This window comes from Homo sapiens, chromosome 2 (genome assembly GCF_000001405.40).
Source record: "Homo sapiens chromosome 2, GRCh38.p14 Primary Assembly".
NCBI lineage: Eukaryota > Metazoa > Chordata > Mammalia > Primates > Hominidae > Homo > Homo sapiens.
Window position 1 is genome coordinate 25,289,238 of NC_000002.12, and position 20,714 is coordinate 25,309,951.

At 53.2% G+C, this 20,714-nt stretch overlaps 1 protein-coding gene across 10 annotated transcripts in view, besides 10 other annotated features; it reads right to left on the bottom strand.

The window, feature by feature from the left end:
- Window positions 1-20,714, bottom strand: part of DNMT3A (DNA methyltransferase 3 alpha) — a 114,717-nt gene that overhangs the window by 61,364 nt on the left and 32,639 nt on the right. For 9 of the 10 annotated variants that reach the window (NR_135490.2, NM_022552.5, XM_005264175.6 and 6 more), the window contains exon 3: window positions 10,902-11,006. Coding sequence is in view for 9 of the 10 variants with exons in the window: in NM_022552.5 (NP_072046.2) it covers window positions 10,902-11,006 (105 nt within the window). In the remaining variant the exon portion in view is untranslated. Of the gene's footprint in view, window positions 1-1,676; window positions 2,959-10,901; window positions 11,007-20,714 lie in introns of those variants that run through there. The other variant, XM_011532662.3, reaches the window with a different exon arrangement.
- Window positions 5,441-5,560: an enhancer, noted in NCBI's record as "active region_15446". NCBI's record gives its function as "activates an Ori minimal core promoter by ATAC-STARR-seq in GM12878 lymphoblastoid cells {active_cell/tissue: GM12878}" and the evidence as "EXISTENCE:reporter gene assay evidence [ECO:0000049][PMID:35858748]".
- Window positions 5,843-6,137: a silencer, noted in NCBI's record as "tiled region #14395; K562 Repressive non-DNase unmatched - State 7:EnhWF". NCBI's record gives its function as "represses a minimal TATA promoter and a strong SV40 promoter by Sharpr-MPRA in K562 cells {active_cell/tissue: K562}" and the evidence as "EXISTENCE:reporter gene assay evidence [ECO:0000049][PMID:27701403]".
- Window positions 5,843-6,538: a biological region, named in NCBI's record as "Sharpr-MPRA regulatory region 14395".
- Window positions 6,017-6,538: an enhancer, noted in NCBI's record as "H3K4me1 hESC enhancer chr2:25518123-25518644 (GRCh37/hg19 assembly coordinates)". NCBI's record gives its function as "activates a minimal SCP1, AML or CMV promoter by ChIP-STARR-seq in primed H9 embryonic stem cells {active_cell/tissue: H9 hESC(primed)}" and the evidence as "EXISTENCE:reporter gene assay evidence [ECO:0000049][PMID:30033119]".
- Window positions 7,525-8,026: an enhancer, noted in NCBI's record as "H3K4me1 hESC enhancer chr2:25519631-25520132 (GRCh37/hg19 assembly coordinates)". NCBI's record gives its function as "activates a minimal SCP1, AML or CMV promoter by ChIP-STARR-seq in primed H9 embryonic stem cells {active_cell/tissue: H9 hESC(primed)}" and the evidence as "EXISTENCE:reporter gene assay evidence [ECO:0000049][PMID:30033119]".
- Window positions 16,360-16,860: an enhancer, noted in NCBI's record as "H3K4me1 hESC enhancer chr2:25528466-25528966 (GRCh37/hg19 assembly coordinates)". NCBI's record gives its function as "activates a minimal SCP1, AML or CMV promoter by ChIP-STARR-seq in primed H9 embryonic stem cells {active_cell/tissue: H9 hESC(primed)}" and the evidence as "EXISTENCE:reporter gene assay evidence [ECO:0000049][PMID:30033119]".
- Window positions 16,861-17,361: an enhancer, noted in NCBI's record as "H3K4me1 hESC enhancer chr2:25528967-25529467 (GRCh37/hg19 assembly coordinates)". NCBI's record gives its function as "activates a minimal SCP1, AML or CMV promoter by ChIP-STARR-seq in primed H9 embryonic stem cells {active_cell/tissue: H9 hESC(primed)}" and the evidence as "EXISTENCE:reporter gene assay evidence [ECO:0000049][PMID:30033119]".
- Window positions 19,211-19,712: an enhancer, noted in NCBI's record as "H3K4me1 hESC enhancer chr2:25531317-25531818 (GRCh37/hg19 assembly coordinates)". NCBI's record gives its function as "activates a minimal SCP1, AML or CMV promoter by ChIP-STARR-seq in primed H9 embryonic stem cells {active_cell/tissue: H9 hESC(primed)}" and the evidence as "EXISTENCE:reporter gene assay evidence [ECO:0000049][PMID:30033119]".
- Window positions 19,403-19,564: a silencer, noted in NCBI's record as "fragment chr2:25531509-25531670 (GRCh37/hg19 assembly coordinates)". NCBI's record gives its function as "represses an EF-1alpha promoter that drives an FKBP-Casp9 reporter gene in an ReSE screen in HepG2 liver carcinoma cells {active_cell/tissue: HepG2}" and the evidence as "EXISTENCE:reporter gene assay evidence [ECO:0000049][PMID:32094911]".
- Window positions 19,713-20,212: an enhancer, noted in NCBI's record as "H3K4me1 hESC enhancer chr2:25531819-25532318 (GRCh37/hg19 assembly coordinates)". NCBI's record gives its function as "activates a minimal SCP1, AML or CMV promoter by ChIP-STARR-seq in primed H9 embryonic stem cells {active_cell/tissue: H9 hESC(primed)}" and the evidence as "EXISTENCE:reporter gene assay evidence [ECO:0000049][PMID:30033119]".

The following is a 20,714-nucleotide window of genomic DNA, read 5'->3' on the forward strand; positions in this document are numbered from 1 at the left end:
GATTACAGGTGCCTGCCACCACACCTGGCTAATTTTTGTATTTTTAGAGATGGGGTTTCTCCATGTTGGCCAGGCTGGTCTCAAACTCCTGATCCCAGGTGATCCATCCGCCTCAGCCTCCCAAAGTGCTGGGATTACAGGCGTGAGCCACCGCACCCGGCCAATCTTATTTAACTTTGTAGGCCTCTCCACCTATGGCTCTCTAGCATCCCACACAGGACTGGGCATACATATGCTTATAAAATTAATAAATGTAATTTTCACAGGGATCCTAGGGGAGCTGGAGCGATACTCGCTTTTCTGAGGCCTGCCTTGGGTCACACGCCTCTGATCAGTAAAGCTTCCAGGATGGCTCAGGTACAGGCGAGGCATTTGAAGGCCGACTCCCGCTCTGGGTTGAGTCTCAGAAAAGCGCAAGCTCACAAATGCCCCCAGGGTTTGGAGAAGGCAGAGGTGGCAGTGCAGTGCCCAAGAAAGGCCGGGCAGAGGCTGCTGGCCCTCCCCTGAGCAGCGCTCAATTCAAGCAAAAGACAGAGGCAAGGCAAGGAGGAGCCCTCTGCTGTGGCCTGCCCAGCCGGAACCAATTCCCCAGCCCTGCCGCCGCCTCCTCTTCCCCCTTTGCCCAAAGTCTGGGCCAGACCCAGACCTCCTGCCCCTCCTTCACTCCAGGCAAAGCCTTGCGTCCCAGGGTGGGGCAATGTCTGAAACTCCCAATATGGGGAGGTGATTTTTTCTTTCTTTTTTTTAAGAGACAGGATATCCCTTTGTCACTCAGGTTGGAGTGCGGTGGCACGATCACGGCTCACTGTGGCCCTGAATTCCTGGGCTCAAGCAATCTTCCCGCCTCAGTTTTACCAGGGACTACAGGTGCCTGCCACCACACCTAACTTTTTATTTTTATGGAAGTAATTAAAAAAAATTTTTTTTTTGAGACAAGGTCTCACTCTGCTGCCCAGGCTGGAGTGCAGGGGTGTGACCATAGCTCCCTGCAGCCTCAAATTCAACGATTTTCCTATCTCAGCCTCCCAAGGAGCTGGGACCACTGGCATGTGCCACCACATCCAGCTAATTTTATGGAAGTGATTTTTTTTTTTTTTTTTTGAGACGCAGTCTCACTCTGTTCTCCAGGCTGGAGTGCAATGGTGTGATCTCGTCTCATTACAACGTCTGCCTCCCGGGTTCAAGCGATTCTCCTGCCTCAGTCCCAACCAGTAGCTGGGATTACAGGCGTGTGCCACCACATCCAGCTAATTTTTGTATTTTTAGTAGAGATGGGGTTTCGCCATGTTGGCCATGCTGGTCTCGAACTCCCAACCTCAGGTAATCCACCCACCTCGGCCTCCCAAAGTACTGAGATTACAGGCGTGAGCCACCACGCCCGGCCAGAAGTGGTTTTTAAGTGTTGCTTTACTATAGTTATTTACACAGAAAAACTAAAATCCAGGAGGAGGAGAGGTGAAGGTCATGGCACAGGGGAGATGAGGCCCTGGCACCTGGGGCAAGAAGCCCTGTCCCCAGGCTGCAGCCCACCTGCAGCGATCACCGGGGAAGGGGGATCCTGTGGGGGTGGGGGGTGGGTAGATGCCATTCTCCCTCCTCCCCTGCCTCTTCCTTTCCCACTGGGAGCTCCTCTTGCCTTCTCCCCCAAAGCCCAGCAGATGCAGGGGCGACCTCACCTTGGTCACCCAGAGGGCCGGGCCTGCCATGGTGCTTTTAATGCCTCTGTGAGATCCATTCCATGCCAACCGGGAACCCTGGCATCAGGCCAGCCACGGACTCTTCACCGTCACGTGCACAGACTTGAGAAGGAGGCACCCCCACGCCTGCAGACACCCACTGCCAGCCACAGGACAGAGGGGTGCAAGGAAGCTGCGTGATGCCAACACAAACACGCCAGTGAGCCCCTCCACTCCCACCGCAACTCCTCGCTCCTTCCAGTTCCTCAGCTCTGCAGGCCCATCACCCCTCAACCAGCCTGAATTTTTCCAGGTTGACTCTAGTTTCAGGAAACAGCTGCATGTCCACGTAAGCAGGGCAGCTCTGCCCCCGAAGCATTGGCACGGGGCCATGACTGCCCGCCCCCGCCCTTCCGGCAGCCCCCTTTCCCCTGGCGGCCCTCACCAGAGATCTGATAGCAGCTGGAAGTGGCCTGTGGTAGGGAGAGCCAGAGATGCCTGCTCCATGCCCACTCCAGGAGGGGCCAGGGGGTCCCCAGATGCCCCCTTGCTCGGCCTTCCTGGGGTGGATGGAGCAAGCTCCAACGCTATGGAGCTAGGACCCTGACTCCTCCAATTTCCCTTTTCCCTGTGGGGTGGCTAAAAGCGCAGCCAGTGGGGTCAGGGATGGCGGGACCAGAGGCCACAGAGGGCCGACTCTGGAAACTCTGGTCCCAGCCTGGGCACCCCCTCCAGGTCCTACCATTCCCCTTACCACATCTGCTGGGAGCTGCCTGTCTCCCTTCTCCCCAGAGATCTCTCCACCCGTGTGTCTGAGGAGAGAACTCTGGGCTCTGCAAAGCCTTAGAGGTCACTCAGTCCATGGCCTGGCTAGGCCGTCACAAGCCATGGCAAATGGATGCCAGAATGACCATGCGTGGTGAGTGGCCGGCCCACTCAGGGTTCTGTTTCCAGCGGGGACACTGGTCCACCTGGAAAAGGGCCTGGTTGTGCTCTTTGAAGTCAACCTCAAAGGATTTCAGAGTGAGCTGGAGGCTCCCTTTAAAAAGCCATTATGCTGGCTGGGTTCAGTGGCTCACGCCTGTAATCCCAGCACTTTGGGAGGCCGAGGCGGGCGGATCATCTGAGGTTGGGAGTTCGAGACCAGCCTGGCCAACATGGTGAAACCCCATCTCTACTAAAAATACAAAAAAAATGGCCTTTGAGCCCCCTATGCTCAGGCCTGCTCTCACATTGTGTAGTGTACTTTCATTTTCAATAAATCCCTTCGACCCTTAAAAAAAAAAATTAGCCAGGCATGGTGGTGCACGCCTGTAATCCCAGCTACTCAGAAAACTGAGACAGGAGAATTGTTTGAACCCGGGAGGCAAAGGTTGCAGTGAGCCGAGATCGCACCACTGCACTCCGGCCTGGGCAACAGAGTGAGAATCTGTCTCAAAAACAAAAACAAAAACAAAAACAAAAAAAGCCATTACGTATGAGAGATCCCATACGTTAAGTAAATCTCTTTTGAAGTTGCTTCTGTTTTCAATTTCTGCCAATCCTAGGGTGACAGGTTTGGTAAGAAGGGAACCCACCATGGAAAATGGTGCTATCTTTTCTGTGCTTCATTTATCTTTCTGAAATTTCTAATGGGTGTCCTCCCTCTGCCCCCCAGCTGTGCTGTGCTCAGCCCGCCGCACCCGACATGATTTCATAGCCTTAATCACATCCTCTGCCTTTGTCTCTGCAGACTGGGGAGTCCTAATCTCTTTAGCCTGTCCTCTCTTGGCAGCCTTGCCTTCCCCTTGATCAATTTAGTGCCCTTCTCTGGAGCTTTTCCAACTCGCTTATGTCTTTCTTGAGGTAGGAGAACCAAAATGTACAAAATTCTCTAGGTGGGGATGATGAAAGAAAGCCCATGTCAACAGCTCTCCTCCAATGGGTGTGCCGGCGCGTACCTGCAACAGGAGGAACAATGCAGGTGGAGCCCGGGCCCTAGAAAAGCTCATGGGGCCCCAGGAAGGCCACCAAGGCCAGGACCTGTGGGAATGAATGACTCGCTGAAGGTGGCCCTGGGATGTGGAGAGATGAAAATAAACAGAGGGATTATTTTTGGAAAAAAAAAAAAAGGAGATTCTGAGATTCTACTTAAATGCTCCCCAAGTAAGACCAGCTATGTAAGGTGGCCTTGACAGGGGCCCCTTCCCCATCTGCTCCCTTCCAGAAGCCTTGTCTCTGACAACAACGCTGATGCTGTCCCTGTTGTGCCATTGCTAGGGCTTCCTTTCACCCCTTCCTCTCCAGCGTTCCCAGGGCCAGCAGCATAGGCTTGGCCAATTCTGCCCCGCCACTGCCACCCCCCACAGGCCCTGGGACTTTGCTGGCGCCCCTGCCCCCTCCCCTCTCCCAGCATGTGCTCATGCTCAGGGATGAACGCCATGCTCATGGGTGCCAGAGCCAATTTCTCAAACACGACTCCCATCACGTCATATCCGCCTCCTCACAACCTTCCAGATAACACATTTTTCAGAGAGGATAAAGAGTAAAAGCCCCTCAGGCTGCCTGCAAACTACCTTTCCAATCAAGATTGAGAAGATTTTTCTTCTTTCTTTGAGACAGGGTTTTGCTCTGTCACCCAGCTGGAGTGCAGTGACACAATTATGGCTCACTGCAGCCTCAACCTCCCGGGGTCAAGAGATCCTCCTGCCTTAGCCTCCCAAGTAGCTGCGACCACAGGTGTACCACCATACCCAGCTACTATTTATTATATATATATATAAAAATTTATTTTTTTGAGACAGAGTCTCCCTCTGTAGCCCAGGCTGGAGTGCAGTGGCACAATCTCGGCTCACTGCAACCTCTGCCTGCCCAGGTTCAAGCGATTCTCGTGCCTCAGCCTCCTGGGCAGCTGGGACCACAGGTATGTGCCACCACATTCGGCTTTTTTCTATTTTTAGTAGAGATGGGGTTTTGCCATGTTGGCCAGGCTGGTCTCGAATTCCTGGCCTCAAGTGATCCACCTGCCTCAGCCTCTCAAAGTGGTGGGATTACAGGTGTGAGCCATTGCACCCAGCCCCGTATACATTTTTCAATGAATCCCTAGTCCCCTCAGCCAGGCCTGTGCCTGTGTGCTCATGGCCCCTGCCTTTGGGCCTCCCCACACTCACCCTGCCCTGCATGCCTTCCTTCCTCCACACCCAGCTCAGCTGGGGTCGGGGGTGCCTCTCACTTTCCCCTTGACTTCTCCAAATGTCACCTCCCTTCTAAGGCCCAGGTCAAGCCCCACCTCCTCCATCTTCCCTGGCTTCCCCGGCATCCTTAGGAGTCCCACTGCACTTAAGTCCCCACCATGGGCTAGGCCCTTCCATGCAGCACTCCAGTAGCGGGCGTTGATTTCACCGCTCAGGTCGGGGAGTGGGTGGGTGGAGCTGCAAGGTTCATAACCATAGGCTCTACCTCACAAGCAGTGTGTCGGCCTGTCTTCCTCATGCCTTCCAAAACATGAGGAGACAGAGTGGGCAGCAGCGTGTACTGATGCAGGCTCGCAGGAAGAAAAGCCACCTCTAGGGGTGGGCCAAGGGCTGCAGCCCAGGAGTGGGAGACACGATGTCAGGAAGTTATATGCATAAAAGGTAGGGGCACCATATCACCCAGCCGAGGTCCGGAGGGTTAGCCCAGGAGCGGCTCTGATCTGAAAACAAGCAGGGCTGCTGAGCTCTGTCTTAACTTGGAGAAGAATCAAAGGTCCTATCAGGCTGGAAAGCTAGCCAGTGCTGCAAACCTCCAAGAGCTGCCATAAGCTGTACCTAGCTGACTTTTGCCTGCAGCAGAATGGTTCCCTGACTTCCCCATTTAGGTTACCCCAAGTCATCTGCTCTGAAGTGGGGCAGTTTGCCCTCTTGGACTGGCTCACTCCTGCGGTGTTGGAGGGTCAGCCCTAACACCAGCTTGGGCTCAGCTGAGCTCAGCACCAGCGCCCAGCCCCCTCCTCCTCCTCCCTCCCATTCTGGGTTATTCTTAGCAGGAGGTGACCTCAGAGTGCTCCCTCTGAGCAAAAATAACCCTGGAGGAAGTTGGTGGGTATAAATCGTCAATGAATAAATACGCATCGCTAGTAAATAGGGGATGGAGCCCCACAGGGCCACTCACCCCCCAGGGCCTTGTGGGCAAAGGCAGAAACTCTCCCTTCAGGGCTCCAACCGGAACCACCCATGAAGGACAAAGGCCTCTGCAGGACTGTCTGGGCTGGCAACCAGGCAGGAACCAGCCTCAGACACCCACACTTGTCACCCTGCAACATCCTTAGAGGCTGCCCCTTCCTCCCCACCTCACACCCACACACGGGCTCAGCTCCACGCACCAGCCCCCGCCTCCCTATCATGGGCACTGGCCAGCCCGCAGGCCCTGGCCCAGGTGCCAGCTCCCTTCCTAAGCCCCGCCCTGCCCTGCAGCTGACTTCCTGTTTCCTGTTGCCGGCTCTGACTGCAGCATCCTGGCTCTCTGGCCAGTGCTGCAGACAACTAGGCCGTTGCCGATTTTAAGCAGGCGCACCTCTTTGCCCTCAGCCCCCTGCAGCCTTCGGCACTTACACACAGGCTCCCTGGTATTTGTGTCAATAACTCTCTTCAGTTCCATTTTCTTTGTATGCTTTTTGGACCAGTTCCACACACTTTTTCCAGCAGCCCTGAATTCACATATTAACTGACAGAGAACCCCTGGGTAGGTACCCAGTAGCCAAACTGCACGGATGCAGTGATAAGGAGGAAAGAGCACCATAGGCTTTGCAGTTGGGAGGTGTGAAGTCCAAGTCCTGATCATCTTCTCTGAACCTCAGTCTCTTCTTCTGAATGTGGGGATAATGAAAGCGGTCCCCAACTACCTCACGCAGGTTTGTCAGCATCAAATAAGGTAACCCCTGTAAAACGCCTTTGTAGGCAGTAACATGCTGCATAACCATGAGCCTTTACTGCTGGTCTCTGTCCTCAGTGAGGCAGGCAAACTCAGTGTGGCACAGCTCAGCGACTATGCAATGGCGGTGCATTTTCAAACTGTCAGGGATGAAAGCTCAAGCTTTGGTTCCAGATTTTTAAATTCTCAGTGCACCAAGAAATGATACGGTTGTAAAATATAAAATCACAGCACGTGGATGTGGCAACATTGTCACACACACATAAAAGCTTCTGAATAGTTATACTCAGTTCTGTACCGACAGGTGACAACAAATGCTTCTCAAAGTGAGGTCTGCAGACCACTGCAGTCCCATGTGTGTGATCGGTGGGCTTGGAACTTGTCTTTATCAGTTCATTTTTATTAACTTTGGAGACAGTTGGAGAAGGGAAAGGCCAGTGTGGGTCACAGTGGCTGAACTGGGCTTCATTTTCAGGCTAGGTTCTACCGGGCTGTGGTGCTGGGGCAGGCGGAGAGAAGGCAGGCTGTGGAACTGTGTAAGGGGCGGGCAGGAGGAATGGCTGGCTAGTGTGTTTGGGGAGCAGTGAGAAGGTGAGGTTTCTGTGGCCAAAGGGGTGGCATCAGGCATAGCAGGGAAAGGAGTGGTCAGATGGTGAGGGGCTGGAATTCAGATCTTGTCCCCTAAAAAATGGAGTCCCGGGGGGTTCCTGAAGAAGGACGTGCCGGTGCTACATTTACTGTGATTATGTGTGGCCTCCTCTCTCCAGCACACTTGACTGAAATAGAAGGCATCTTCCTCTGGTGGCTTCCCGCACATGGTCAGTGCTCAGGAAGTGGAAAGTGTTTGTCGTGAAGGGAGCACACTGGCCTGGGCATGCAAGGGGCAGGTGGAGTCTGGTTTGGGTGAGGGCAATGCCAGGGGGCAGAAGGCACCCAGGGACAGATGCCTGTTGAAGGCCAAGACAGACAGTCCTTGGGGGCAAAAGGAGGAGAGAGCCCAGGATTTCTTGGGCTTGGGGGTGGGACCTGGTGAGGGCACTAGTGGGTATATCTGGACCCTCCCTGTCCAGCGCTGGCTGTGGAAGCTCACAGCCTCCAGCCAGGGTTTCATCTCTTACTTCCCAGTCCCCATCCCTGTCACACCTGTCAGGACCTGAGCCAAGCTCCTTCCCCAGGCTTAGCTGGATGACACACTCAGCTGCTTTAAAGCTCCCTGGCAAATCTATTCCCAGGGCCACAGCTGCAACAGGTCCTCAGAAGCCATCTCTCCTGTGCTCCTGCATGGGAGGGGAAGAGGCCAGGACCAGCACCTGCGACCACAAGGGCTGAGCCTTGGCTGCAGCAGGAATCCCCCAACATGGGCTCCCAGGAAGGGCCATGCTGGCTGCTGTCCTCGGGGTCAGTCTTTCTCGGTTCCTCCAATGTGCAAGGAGTTGCTTTCCCAACAGCTGACTTCCCAATCAGCTTCACCTTTACCATGCTCCTCCTCACCCTGGGCCTCTCCTGAGAGGCCAGGCGACGGCAGGTGTAACCTAGGACTTGGGCTAGAACACATCCAGACCACGAGGGGCACGGGATGCGCCCCGCCTCCCAGGGCTGCTGAGAGGCTGATGCTGGGCCCCCACCCCATAGGCCTGCACCCCAGCCTGGTGGACACTGGGCCCTGCAGTGGAACAGGTTTTTTACACAGCCAGCTCTGCATTGTTTTTTTTTTTTTTTTTTTTTGAGACAGAGTCTCGCTCTGTTGCCCAGGCTGGAGTGCAGTGGCACAATCTTGGCTCACTGCAACCTTCCCCTTCCGGGTTCAAGCGATTCTCTTGCCTCAGCCTCCCGAGTAACTGGGATTACAGGCACCCGCCATCATGCCCGGCTAATTTTTGTATTTTTGTAGAGACAAGGTTTCACCATGTTGGCCAGGCTGGTCTCAAACTCCTGACCTCAGGTGATCCGCCCACCTTGGCTTCCTAAATTGCTGGGATTACAGGCATGAGCCACTGCGCCTGGCCCAGCCTGCACATTTGGACTCTTTTGCTGTTTGCCAAGTGCCCCAGGAGGTGGACAGGGCAGGTTTTACTGGCAGCCATATTTTCCCAATGAGGAAGCAGCCCAGAGAGGTTAGGTGACTTGCTCAAGGACACATGCTGGGAAGCATTAAATCAAGGTGCTGCTCTTCTGTCAAACTACGGTTGCCGTGGCCTCCTGAAGAGGAAAGGTTTGGCCAGGCGGGGGCAGGCCCGACCTTTGCTGAGGCTCCTTGGTGCTTGCACCATTTCGTTCTCACAGGGGCAAGGAGAAATGCATCCTTTTCTCCTCTATTTTTAGAAGGGGAACCTGAGGTTCAGGCAGCAGCAGTTCAAGGTTACACAGGTGGTCAGTGGTGGAGCCAGAATTTGAACTCAGGTCTCTTGGACCCCAAAGACAGTGTTTTTCCTTCTGCCCTGGAGCGTGCTTCAGGCCAGGGGATGTAGGACTGCCGGCCCCTCTCCCCTCACTCGGCTGTGCCCCTCTTCTCTGTCATTGTCTAGGTGATGTCCCCACACTCCTGTCCCTGACTTCCTTGTACCTTTTCACCCGAGTGCTTCACTCCACCTCTCAGCGATGTGGCTACCCTCTGATTCCAGAGACTCACAAAGATGAGTCAAAGGGTTGCTGGGTCTTTATTTGCTACAGGTGGTGGCTCTTGTCCTCAGAAACTGGACGGGGACAGGGGGAGTTTGCTTAGCATATTGCACGTTGCCAAGCCTCAGGAGAGAGGCAGGGCACGCTGCAAATGTGGAGTCACCAGTGTGCTCTGACTCCGGCCTGGCTCTCCTCCCACACCTTCTCCATTAAGGTGCCCTGTGGGCAGAGGAGGGTGCAGGGGCCCTGGGAATCTGGAGTCTGCTGCCAGCCAGAAAGTCCTCTCTGAAGCCCCGTGTTATTTTTCAACATCACGTGAATTTTTCATTCCAGAATGAATTTCATTCATTACATATCCACGTTTGCTTTAATATTAAAAGGTTTAAAATTACTTACCAGTAAAATGACTTCACTCCGCCCCCCTGCCCCCCGCCTCAAATCTTCAGGCAGAACTGGCAGGGGTGCATCTCAGTACACAGCAGGTTCCCACACCCCCCACCTCCAGGAACTCACCACCCCCCCCGCCTCTACTGTCCCATTTCACTTCAGTCACCTTCAACCCGGCTCTCTACCCAAAGGGAGCAAGTCCTGGGCTCCATGCCTGCTGAGAACATTTCTTTGAAGGGCTGAGTAACAAATCCAGAGCCTCTGACTCCCCCTTACCTTCTTGCTCCAAGTTTACCATTCTCAGCTGGAAGGGGGGTAAAAGAAAGGAACCAGCTGTCTCTGGTGCTGGGAAATAATGACTGCTCCACATCTGAGTTTAAGACATAAACCAGTTAGGCTCCTACAGCCCAGGGGTCTTGTTCTCCAGAGCTGCCCCCAGGCCTCAGCGGCACTGGTTCCCAGAAGCCTGGCGCTGGGGCTGGCCCTGCAGCCTACATGCCTGCAGGACTTCCTTCCCCAGGGCCCTGGTTCTCCTGCTGCCTCACAGAGACTCCTCAGCCTGCATCTCCCCCTTCCCATTTGATCAGACTCCCAGGCCTCAGTTCCCTTCCTCCAGGTGGGGGCTGAGACCCTGGGTGAGAGTGTGGTAGGGAGGGGCCTTCATAGATAGTCCAGGGAGATCTTAGTCCAGCCTGGGATTCTGGCAGGCCCTCTTGCTTCCCTTCCAGAGGGAGGCCAGGAGTCAGGGGCCTGGTCCAAGTCTTAGGCCCAAGACCAACCAGCCAAGTCCCCTGGCTTCTCAGGGCCTCCACTTCTCTATGCAGAAAACAGGGAAATGTGGCCGGGCGCGGTGGCTCATGCCTGTAATCCCAGCACTTTGGGAGGCTGAAGTGGGCGGATCACTTGAGGTCAGGAGTTCGACACCAGCCTGGCCAACATGGCGAAATCTCGCCTCTACTAAAAATACAAAAATTAGCCGGGAATGGTGGCGCGTGCCTGTAATCACAGCTACTTGGGAGGCTGAGGTGGGAGAACTGTTTGAACCCAGGAGGTGGAGGTTGCAGTAAGCCGAGATCACGCCACTGCACTCCAGCCTGGGCAACAGAGTGAGACTCCGTCTCAGTAAAAAAGTAAATAAATAAATAAGAAAACAGGGAAATGTGAGGGTGGGATTTGAAGAATGGGGTACCTGCAGCTGGAGGGGTATACCCCATCACCTGGTCTTAAATGTCTCCAGGTCCCTGCAGGACATACATCACTGCCATCGACAGGCCAGGCACGTGTGTGTTGTGTGTGTGCACAGGAGGGTGTGTAGGATGTGACACTCACCGGGGGGTGCTTGCGCTTCCTCCCAGGCCGCCCCACCTTCCGTGCCGTGGTGCTGGGCTCTTGGCGCTCCTCCTTGCCACGCGGCTCCTCCTGCTCCTCTCCGTCCTGCAGGCACAGACACAGCCTGTGAGGCCAGAGGTGGATCCCAGCAGTGTAGCATTCCAGGCCTGTCTGGGGCTGGCCCTGGCTTCCCTTCCAGCCCCAGCCTCCTCCTGTCCCACGAGCCACACTTCCAGGGCTGTGTAATATGCCCCCACCAACTCCCCTCCTGCCTGATGAGGCTTGAGGCACCCCTCAGAGCCCCACTTAAAATATATCCTTGGCCAGGCACCGTGGCTCATGCCTGTAATCCCAGCACTTTGAGAAGCCAAGGCAGGAGGATCCCTTGAGGCCAGGAGTTTGAGACCAGCCTGGGCAACATAGTGAGACTCCATCTCTATAAAAATACCCACACCCATATATATATCTAAATAATATATTATTTAGATATCTAAATAATATATTATTTAGATATCTAAATAATATATTATTTAGATATATATTTAGATATATATTTATATATCTAAATAATATAATATATATATATATATATATATATATATATATATATATATATATATATATATATATAAATAATACATCCTTTGGGGAACTTCAGGGCAGACGCTGCTGTCCCCCCGGAAGGCATCTCTCTCTCTTTATGACCACATTTTCCGAACCATAAAATCATAACACAAGCTCTGATAAAGGATTTGAGTTAAAAGTTTATTTATATGAGAAAGCTTTTGTTCACAGATACACAATTACATTTGTGATCTACTTAATGAATCACCTTTATTGAAAATAAAATCGCTGGGCATGGTGGCTCACGCCTATGATCCTAGCACTTTGGGAGGCTGAGGCAGGTGGATCATGAGGTCAGGAGATTGAGACCATCCTGCTAACACGATGAAACCCCATCTCTACTAAAAATACAAAAAATTAGCCGGGCATGGTGGCACGCGCCTGTAGTCTCAGCTACTAGGGAAGCTGAGGCAGGAGAATTGCTTGAACCTGGGAGGCAGAGGTTGCAGTGAGCCAAGATCACGCCACTGCACTCTAGCCTGGGAGACAGAGCGAGACTGTCTCAAAAAAAAAAAAAGAAAATCAAGTGAAAAGAAATATTAAATTTAGCAATATCTATTTGAAGTCCAGGCAATACTCGAAATGGACAACTATGGAAAGTGGAGGACTTGTACAGCTGTGAACACCCCTGCCATGTGGAGCTGGCACCGCGCATGCCTGTCAGCCTGCAGGAGGATCTCAGGGACCGAATCTCAGCTCCTCTCCATCTCTTGCATTCACCGAGTTTGGAACAGAAGTTTGTTTTACTCCCCGCCCCTCACATAACACCTGTGCACGGCTGGGCCCTGACATGCTTGTCTCCTGGGGCACAGAGACATAAACCTAGAAAGTCCTGCCTCACTACTCCAGCCTGGCCACAAACCACCCACAAGTCCCTTCTGACTCAGCTGGGCTCTGGCATGACTAATCCCCAGCAGAAATGATGCTGGGGAAGTGGGGAGAAAGACGTCCTGACCCTGCAGATGGGCCACAGGCTGCTCTTCATACCCTGCACGATGTCAGGAGCCAAAGATGGCTTTTGGGCCCTCCCCAAGGAGGGGCCAACCCAGGGCAGTGCTGGCAGCACAGAGGTAGAAGAGGGTCCACAGCTCTCCTGGAGACCTGAGTAAGATGGCCCTCAACAACCTACTCAACTTTCATTTTCTGTGATTGCAAAATACCTTGTGGTTTGCCACATTAATTTTTAGGTGACAGTGGGACACACAAATGGAAACCTACTGTGACCAGCTGTAGACATAAGACCAGCGGGAAGAGCATCCCTGGCCCCTCCATCCATCCTCCAGCTGAGGCATGTCTGCAGGGCAGACCATCATGGCTCAAGTTCTGGGAGGCCTCCAAAGACATGCACATGGAGGGTGAACAGAGGTGCCCGGTCTTAGCATAGGTGGTGGCCACAGTCAAGCTGGAGAGAGGCAGAGCTCACACAGGAGATAGAGAGAGAATGCTCGGAGGTGCAGAAGAGGACCCTGGTGTGTTGTGGGAGCAAGGAAGGGGAGGGCTGCCAACACTGGAGACCAAAGCTGTCTGAGAAAGATACTGAGGATGAGGAGGCTTGGCTAGGGGTCAGAATGGCTGACCTTCAAGAGCACTGTCACTAAGCTGTGCAGAGTGACACGGCAGTGAGGGCTGGAGAAGGACCAAAGAGGGCAATTTAAGGAGCACAGCAGAGGAAGCATCTGGAAAGGATGCCAGGGGACTGGGGAGCCCCGTGCCGTCTGTGGAGGGAGAGGCCAGCCCCGAGGCCGGAGATCCTTCAGGGGCTCTTTTCAGGAAAGCACAGCAGACGGGCGGTGAGGGCAGAAAGGCTGTGGGAGGAGGAGCAAACTCGCGGGAGCCTTCATGAGGGCTCAGGGTGCCCAAGGGCACACGCCCCATGGGAGGGGAGGCCTGCTGCTTCTGAACCATCTTCTGAAGACCCCAGACCCCCGAGTGTAAGAAAGGATCACACAGAGAGGACGTATTGCCAGTGCAGCTTAGTATTTGTGAAGGTTCTGATTGGATCTACACAACTGCTAAGAATTTCAGGCTGAGGTGGGGCTTCTAATCCGATTCAACCAGTGCCAAATGGGCACCGTCTTGATCAGCACTTGTAAAATCATTAGGGGTCATGTGAGGTCATGGAAAAAGCAAAGTGGGCATGAGCCCAGCTTGTCCATTTCCTAGTTACAGGAGCAGCCTCTCGGAGCCTCAGTTTCCTCATCCATAAAATGGGGGTAGGGAGGTGTCCATCCTGTCTGCTTCTCAGGTTTTGAGAAGACAGCTTCACAAAGGGTCTGCCCCTTTGTCTGTTTTGTTTACTGCTGAATCCCCAGCGCCTAGGGCAGATTCTGGAAAAACTCCTACTGCCCATAAATTCTGGGCTTTAAACTATTTCTTTAACAAGCTGCATTTGTGACAGAGGGAGTCATTTGACTTTCTTTTATTCTGAACTAATCAGAGATGTGAAAGCCAACCAGAGCGTCTGATCAGTGAAAGGGAACCACAGTTACCACACAGCAATGACCTAAAAATAAAGACGCTTGACATTTCACGATGGGCACCAGCTTCCACTGGGCATGCGGAGAAAGCCTTTGGGGGCCCCGACAGGCCACCCCTCTGCCATATGCAGTCCTGCTGGCATCTCTCACCTACACCACGTGTGCAGGGCCTGTAGGTGCTCGGCACATTTTTTTCCCTGTTGGATTCAATTCCGTGCAACCCAGCCCAGGAGGAAGGGGTGGACCCCCCGGTGCCAGGCCACCTCTCCAGGTCCTGACAGGTCCAGAGAGGGCGGGGAGTGCCAGGCAGGGGTGCTGTGTGTACCCCACACCTGGTGCAAGGAGCTTTACGGCTGGCCCAGCATTCAGGCCCCGCATGCTTCTGGGTCGTGCTTGGAGTCTCCACGAGAGCCAGGTCTGAACAACTCCTGGCCCTTCCCCTTGACATTTGGCCCTAAGAGCAGCGTTGTGAAAAGCATGTTCTCTTCTGCCAACTCTTCCGCGATGGAGTCTTAGGGCAAAGCGGGAAGCGATGCTTCTGCTCTGGGCCTGCCTGAGGTTCCCTCTGCGGAGGGAGGGGGCTAACACGCCAAGAAGGGTGAGCAGATGGCTTGGGCCGTGCCCCTCAATGGCTCCAAGGAAGCGTAGCAAGTGGTTCATTCTCGCATCTGTCACGGGGTCTGTTTTATTCCATATCTTTGCTGATGGGTTGAGCAAAGGAATGTAAAACATGCTTATCAAATCTGCAAGTAGCCCTGAATTAGGAGGCGTTGCTAATACTCTGAAAGAAAAGAATCTGATCCGTGGTGACATGGGACAGCTGAAGAACAGTAACACAGTTCGCGGGAACAGATTTGAGCCCAGGTTGGTTTCCTCATCTGTCAAGCCAGGGGACTGAATTCGTCCACACTTCCAGCGCAGAGGGGAGGGGGTGGAAATTCCAGACACGTAGGCTTTGGAGAGGGCAGAGCCGGGCTGGGAGTTTCGCTCTGCTCTTTGCTTAGGAGTAACCTCAAGCTCTTTAACCTCCCTGAGTCTTGCTTTCCTCATCTATAAAATGGGATGATATCTACTTCACAGTGATGTTATAAGAATTAAATGAGGTGATGTAGCAAAAGCTGACACGTGATAGTCACTCGAGAACTGCTACCTTCCCCCGCTCCACACATCCTGATTCGTACTTCACTCCCACTCCATCCTCCCCATCCCCCTCTCCCTGCCTCGTGCAAATCCCAGCACGCCGCCCACCATATGCAGCGATCCCTCACTATCACACAGAGCCCAACATCTGGCGGGCGCTCTTGCCGCAAGATATGTGGCAATACTGGGGCTCTAGGAGCTTTCCAAAATGCAAAGCTGATTATGCCACTCTGCAGAGCTTAAACCTTTGCCACGGGGGTTCCCGGGGGCCAGGAGGATCCAGCCAAGCTCCTCAGCTCATGTGCAGGGCGGTCCCCAGGATTTGGCTGGATCGCCTTGGTCTCTTCTCCACACTGTGGTCCCAACAGACAGCACCAAGCGCGAAAGCAAACTGCTTCCGGCCTCAGCCCCTAGGCATAGACTGTTCTTCTGACCACACCACCTTCCCCTCAGGTTTATCAGCAAACTGTTACTCGCTTTTCCAGCCTCCTATCCTGGATTCCCTGCCCCTAGGCCCCCTCCTCCCATCCCCTGCCTAGACTGAGCTGAAAGACCCTTCCTCTCCTATAGTTCCCCTACCCAGCAAGGCAACGGTCAGCTCCTTGAGGGAAGTGTGGGTGTCTGATTCATGCTGGCATCCAGAATGCCTAGACGGATGCATTTAGTCCAAGGCAGGCACTTGATGAATGACTGTCACAGAGTAGGTGCCTGACGTGAGTCCATAGACGCAAACAGAGACACACGTACAAATCTACAAACCCGTACAAATACAACTGTGTACGAGGTTCCAGTGCCTCTCGGATCTTTACGATTCCAGATTAGGAAACAAGAGGACTAAAACGTCCCTTCTAGACTTAAACATAATTGTCACTTTGCATTTATGTCATTCTTTGCAGCTTTCAAAGCACCTTCACATTTGGTGGCCTGTGAGATTAGGTGGTTCCTCTCTCTAAACATCTGAGGCTACGATCTGACCTACATTTCAACACTGCTCACTGGATGGATTATTTTAAGCCATATACAACGTCTCATTCTGATGCGCTGGGCTATGACGATAATAATCTCTCACATTTGCACTGAACGTGGTAATTAACAAAGCATCTTCACATATGTTATTTCATTGTATTCTTACACTTTACAGAAAGCAGAGCTGGTATTATTTTTTTCTGTTACACAGATGAAACACCTGAAGCTCAGAGAGATTATCTGACTTGCAGGGATCAGAGAGCCAGGAAAGGAGGCCTTTAGAACCAAAATTTACATCTTTTGTTTACCAGTCCATCGGTCTTTCTACTGCAACATGCCACTATACCCTACCATGTCAACAGGCACACACACAGTGACACCATAAAGATACAGGCAATCCAAGGTCAAGGCACACTGGCATTCACAGGCACAGACACTCTGGGCTGGCTGTGCCCAGACACAGGACCCCTCCCCACAAGAGATTTATGTCTCTTGAGGCCCTCACCTAGAGACAGCCAGCCTGACATACGTGTATTCCCTTCAGTACTTAAACCGGATGCTACTGACCCAGCATCGGTTGAGCAGATGTCTCGAGTTGGTGCTTGAGTCGAGGGGATGAACTTGCCGGATCTAGCCAGCTACTTGCCCGGGCCCCCTGGGACAAGAAGCATGCCCAGCCTTTGCCAGCTGGCTGGCTGGCCTCCCAGGGACTGTCTGTGGTCATGGAATTCAGTGAAACGAATTGGCTTCTGCAAGAGGCAGAGCCCTGTCCTGGGTTGCCTGAGCACCAGGCTCTGCAGAGCTACAGCCACACGCTTGCGTACCCCAATGCCACACAGACACTCACATATGCTTGCACACACACCCGTGCCCAGGCCAACCTGCAGAGGCTGATCCCAGCGTGAGGGGTCAGGCAGTGGGCTGGGAATCACTGTAGATGCGCATGGGCCCAGAGCCCTCCAAAGCCCCCTACTTTTTCTGATCTCAGTCACCTCCCAAGGCTCATCAGCCCTTTATTTCAATTATTCAACAATATCCGACAAGTAACCATTGACTGCTTAGGTCGTGTCATAATTACCGAGGAAAGCCTTCCATCCTCCTGAAAGGCCACTCTCCTGGAGGGGAGGGGCCGTGTCTCATTGGCGCCTCTGAGTCCCCCACAGCTCCTGGGTACTTGCACACAGAGGTGTTCCAGAAATGCTAAATAGCTGACAACGGTGGTGCCCATCTGGTTCCCAGGCCCTCGTGCCAGGGCTGCAGCCCCTTGTCCACAGCCTGTCCACCTGGCTGGGGCCTCATTGTCTTCTGGAGGTGCAGGGTGGGCCAGACCTCACACCCACGAGCAGCACACCTCAGCCCTGTCCACCTCTGAGGTCTCTATGTCACAAGGCCAGACACAGGGGTGCACTAAAAAAATCTATTGAGCACCTACTGTGTACTGGATACAAAGATAAACAAATAGGAAACTCGGTTCAGAGGGAGACAACAACATGTAAACAAGTACCTGATGCCATGCTGAGCCCAGACTGGAGTGTGCTACTGCTCTGCCTGTGGCCACTTCCATGGCACCAAGCCCACACATGTCTGCTCCTTCAGTAGCACACCCAGCTCTGCCAGCCCTTGCTTAATAGAGGGGAAGATCCAGATAAAACTACTTTGTAGCCGTGTGGCCTCTCTAAGCCCCAGTTCCTCATCGGTAAAATGGGGATGAGGAACCTCTGACCATCATCCTGCTCTGGGCGCCCCCTAACTAATCATGATGACAGAATGAGTCAATTACCGTGCAGAGAACACTCCTTTACATGCCCTTCCATGCAGCACAAACATTACGTGGGATGATTACAAGGAATATCCCTAATGCCCTGTGGCTCTCTGCAGAGGCAGCTGCAGGGTATGACCAGGACTCCTGTGCCAAGCCCAGGTACCAGAGAGGAAAGGCTCATTTCCCAATTATCCTGGGACACTGCTCCACCACTCAGCTCTATTCTTTTTCTTTTTTTTTTCCCAGCCAGGGTTTCACCATGTTGGCCTTGAACTCCTGACCTCAGGTGACCTGCCCACCTCAGCCTCCCGAAGGGCTAGGATTACAGGCATGAGCCACCACACACCGCAGCTTTTTTTTTTTTTTTTTTTTTTTGAGATGGAGTTTTGCTCTTGCCACCCAGGCTGGAGTGCAATGGCGAGATCTTGGCTCACTGCAACCTCCACCTACCAGGTTCAAGTAATTCTCCCACCTCAGCTTCCCAAGTAGCTGTGATTACAGGCACGCACCACCACGCTGGGCTAATTTTTGTATTTTTAGTAGAGACGGGGTTTTGCCATGTTGGCCAGGCTGGTCTCCAACTCCTGACCTCAAGTGATCCATCTGCCTTGGCCTCCCACAGTGCTGGGATTCAGGTGTGAGCCACTGCGCCTGGCCCATTCTTCTATTCTGCACAGCTGAGCCTGGCCTTTCCTGCCCTGGCCCTGGGCGACTCACCTTATCAGCAGGGCTGGGCTCCATCCCTAACCCGGCCATTAAGAGCAGGAGGGACCCAAGTGACTGTGGCCCCTCACCTAGGCCCCTGAAGGGATCTACAGCCCCTGCCATCAGGAGTTAGGTCTCATCACCACTTGCCTTGTTTTACTTTTGTTCAAGGGATAAAGGGAACTCAGGCCTTTAGTGACTGATGACCCAAAGAGAGACAACATTCCCTTCACGTGCTAGGCTCTCAGTGGACTCTAAGCCCACACTCTGTCCCCACCCATGGTTTCCTACTCTTCTCCCACGCCCCTGCAATTCATGGGGCGGCAGTGGGTGTAAACCACAAAGGTGTAGGTAGGTAGGTAGGTAGGCAGGTAGGTGGGTGGGTGGATGGGTAGGTAGATATCCAAAATAAATTATAAAGCTAACTTAACATATGCTATGTCCTGGTGTTAACCACTTGCACACACCATCTCGTCTGAACCTCTCAAGCCAACTAGGAGCTGTTTTCCTGCTCACAGCCATGTTTCCAAGTCACGTGACAGAGTCCAGCTTCAACACAGGCCCTTCTGCAGGGGCCAAACAACCCCCATCCAAGACTGTACTGACCAAGATTAACTACATTTGACATGTAATAATGTCCAATTTAAGAGAATTTTAGAGAAACCGAAGCCCAAAATGTAGGTCCTGCTCAGCTCAGGGATGGGCACTGTTTACATCACAAACCTGCTAAGCACGCCCAACCCTCTCCTAACTCCCCCGAGATCAGAGTGAGCGCGCCATTATCGCTGGCTGGGTCTCTGAAGAGGTGAGGGTGCAGCGGCTTTTCTATAGCTATTTAAACATACTAAGAAGGATGCTCTTTGAAATGACCTTACCGCAACCACTGTCAAGCAAAGAGCCAGCCCTAAGTGACCATGTGGGGGCATCTGAGTGCAAGAAAGGCAGAACATGCCCAGGAGCAGGTGACAGACCGCGGGCAGCAAGAATGACTGCCACTGGAACTGGCAGGGACCCCACCCAAGGATGGAGGCCCTTGTACTTGCAGACCAGAGTGGAGAGAGCCCACGAGAAATCAGTGGCTGCCAGGCCTCTGGGCCAGACTTTGATGGGGAGGGGAAAGGAGGAACCGCAGCCCCAATGCTGCCCACAGATGCATACACACACACACACACACACACACACACACACGCACGCACATGTGCAAACACATAAGTGCTGTGTTTCCCCAGCACAAAGATGCACCCCAGCTGCAGCTTCTACTACAGGCAGGAGAAGGCTTGATCAGAGGAGCTGCCCAGCAGGCCTCACCCACCCCTGGGGGGCAGGCATGGCTTACCCACCTCGATGTCTTCCTACCCCTCTACTAGGCCCTCCAAGCACGGTCACTCAGTTCATCCAACAGCCTTGCGGAGCCCTGCTACATGCTAACTACCTGGAAAGGTACCTATGTCTGAAGAAAGGGAGGGAGGAAGAGAAGAAAAGAGGAGCTGTATGTCCAGGGAGGGAGAGGCAGGGAAGGAAGGAGGGCAGGAGGCAGGAAGAAATGGTAAGAAGCTGCATGTCTGCAGCAGTGCCTCCATCTGGTGTGTGTGCCTGTACACGCAGGTGGTGTGTGCAGTTCTTGCTGGAGATGAAGTGCCCCCAACTTCTCCCCAAGGGCAAGAGCGCCATTATGCAGTGAAAGGCTTTCTCCTGCAGCAAAAGTCCAGGGGAGGACTACGAATTCTCATCACATCACCACCGGGGGGCACTGTTCACTCCATCCCCCTTCACGCAGGAGACAGCCTAAGGAGCGCAGAAGCCAGCCTCATTCCAGCCTCAGCACTAGCACTTAACAAGCTGTGTGACTCTAGGCAAGTGACTTAACCTCTCTGAGCTTCAGTTTAGCCCTTAATAAGATAGAATGATGAAAATAATAGTGTCTACCTTATGCGGCAATTGTAAGAATTAAATAAGATAGGCCCGGCGTGGTGGCTCACGCCTGTAATCCCAGCACTTTGAGAGGCCGAGGCGGGTGGATCATGAGGTCAGGAGATCGAGACCATGCTGGCTAACATGGTGAAACCCCGTCTCTACTAAAAAAAAAAATACAAAAAATTAGCTGGGCATGGCGGGCGCCTGTAGTCCCAGCTACTCAGG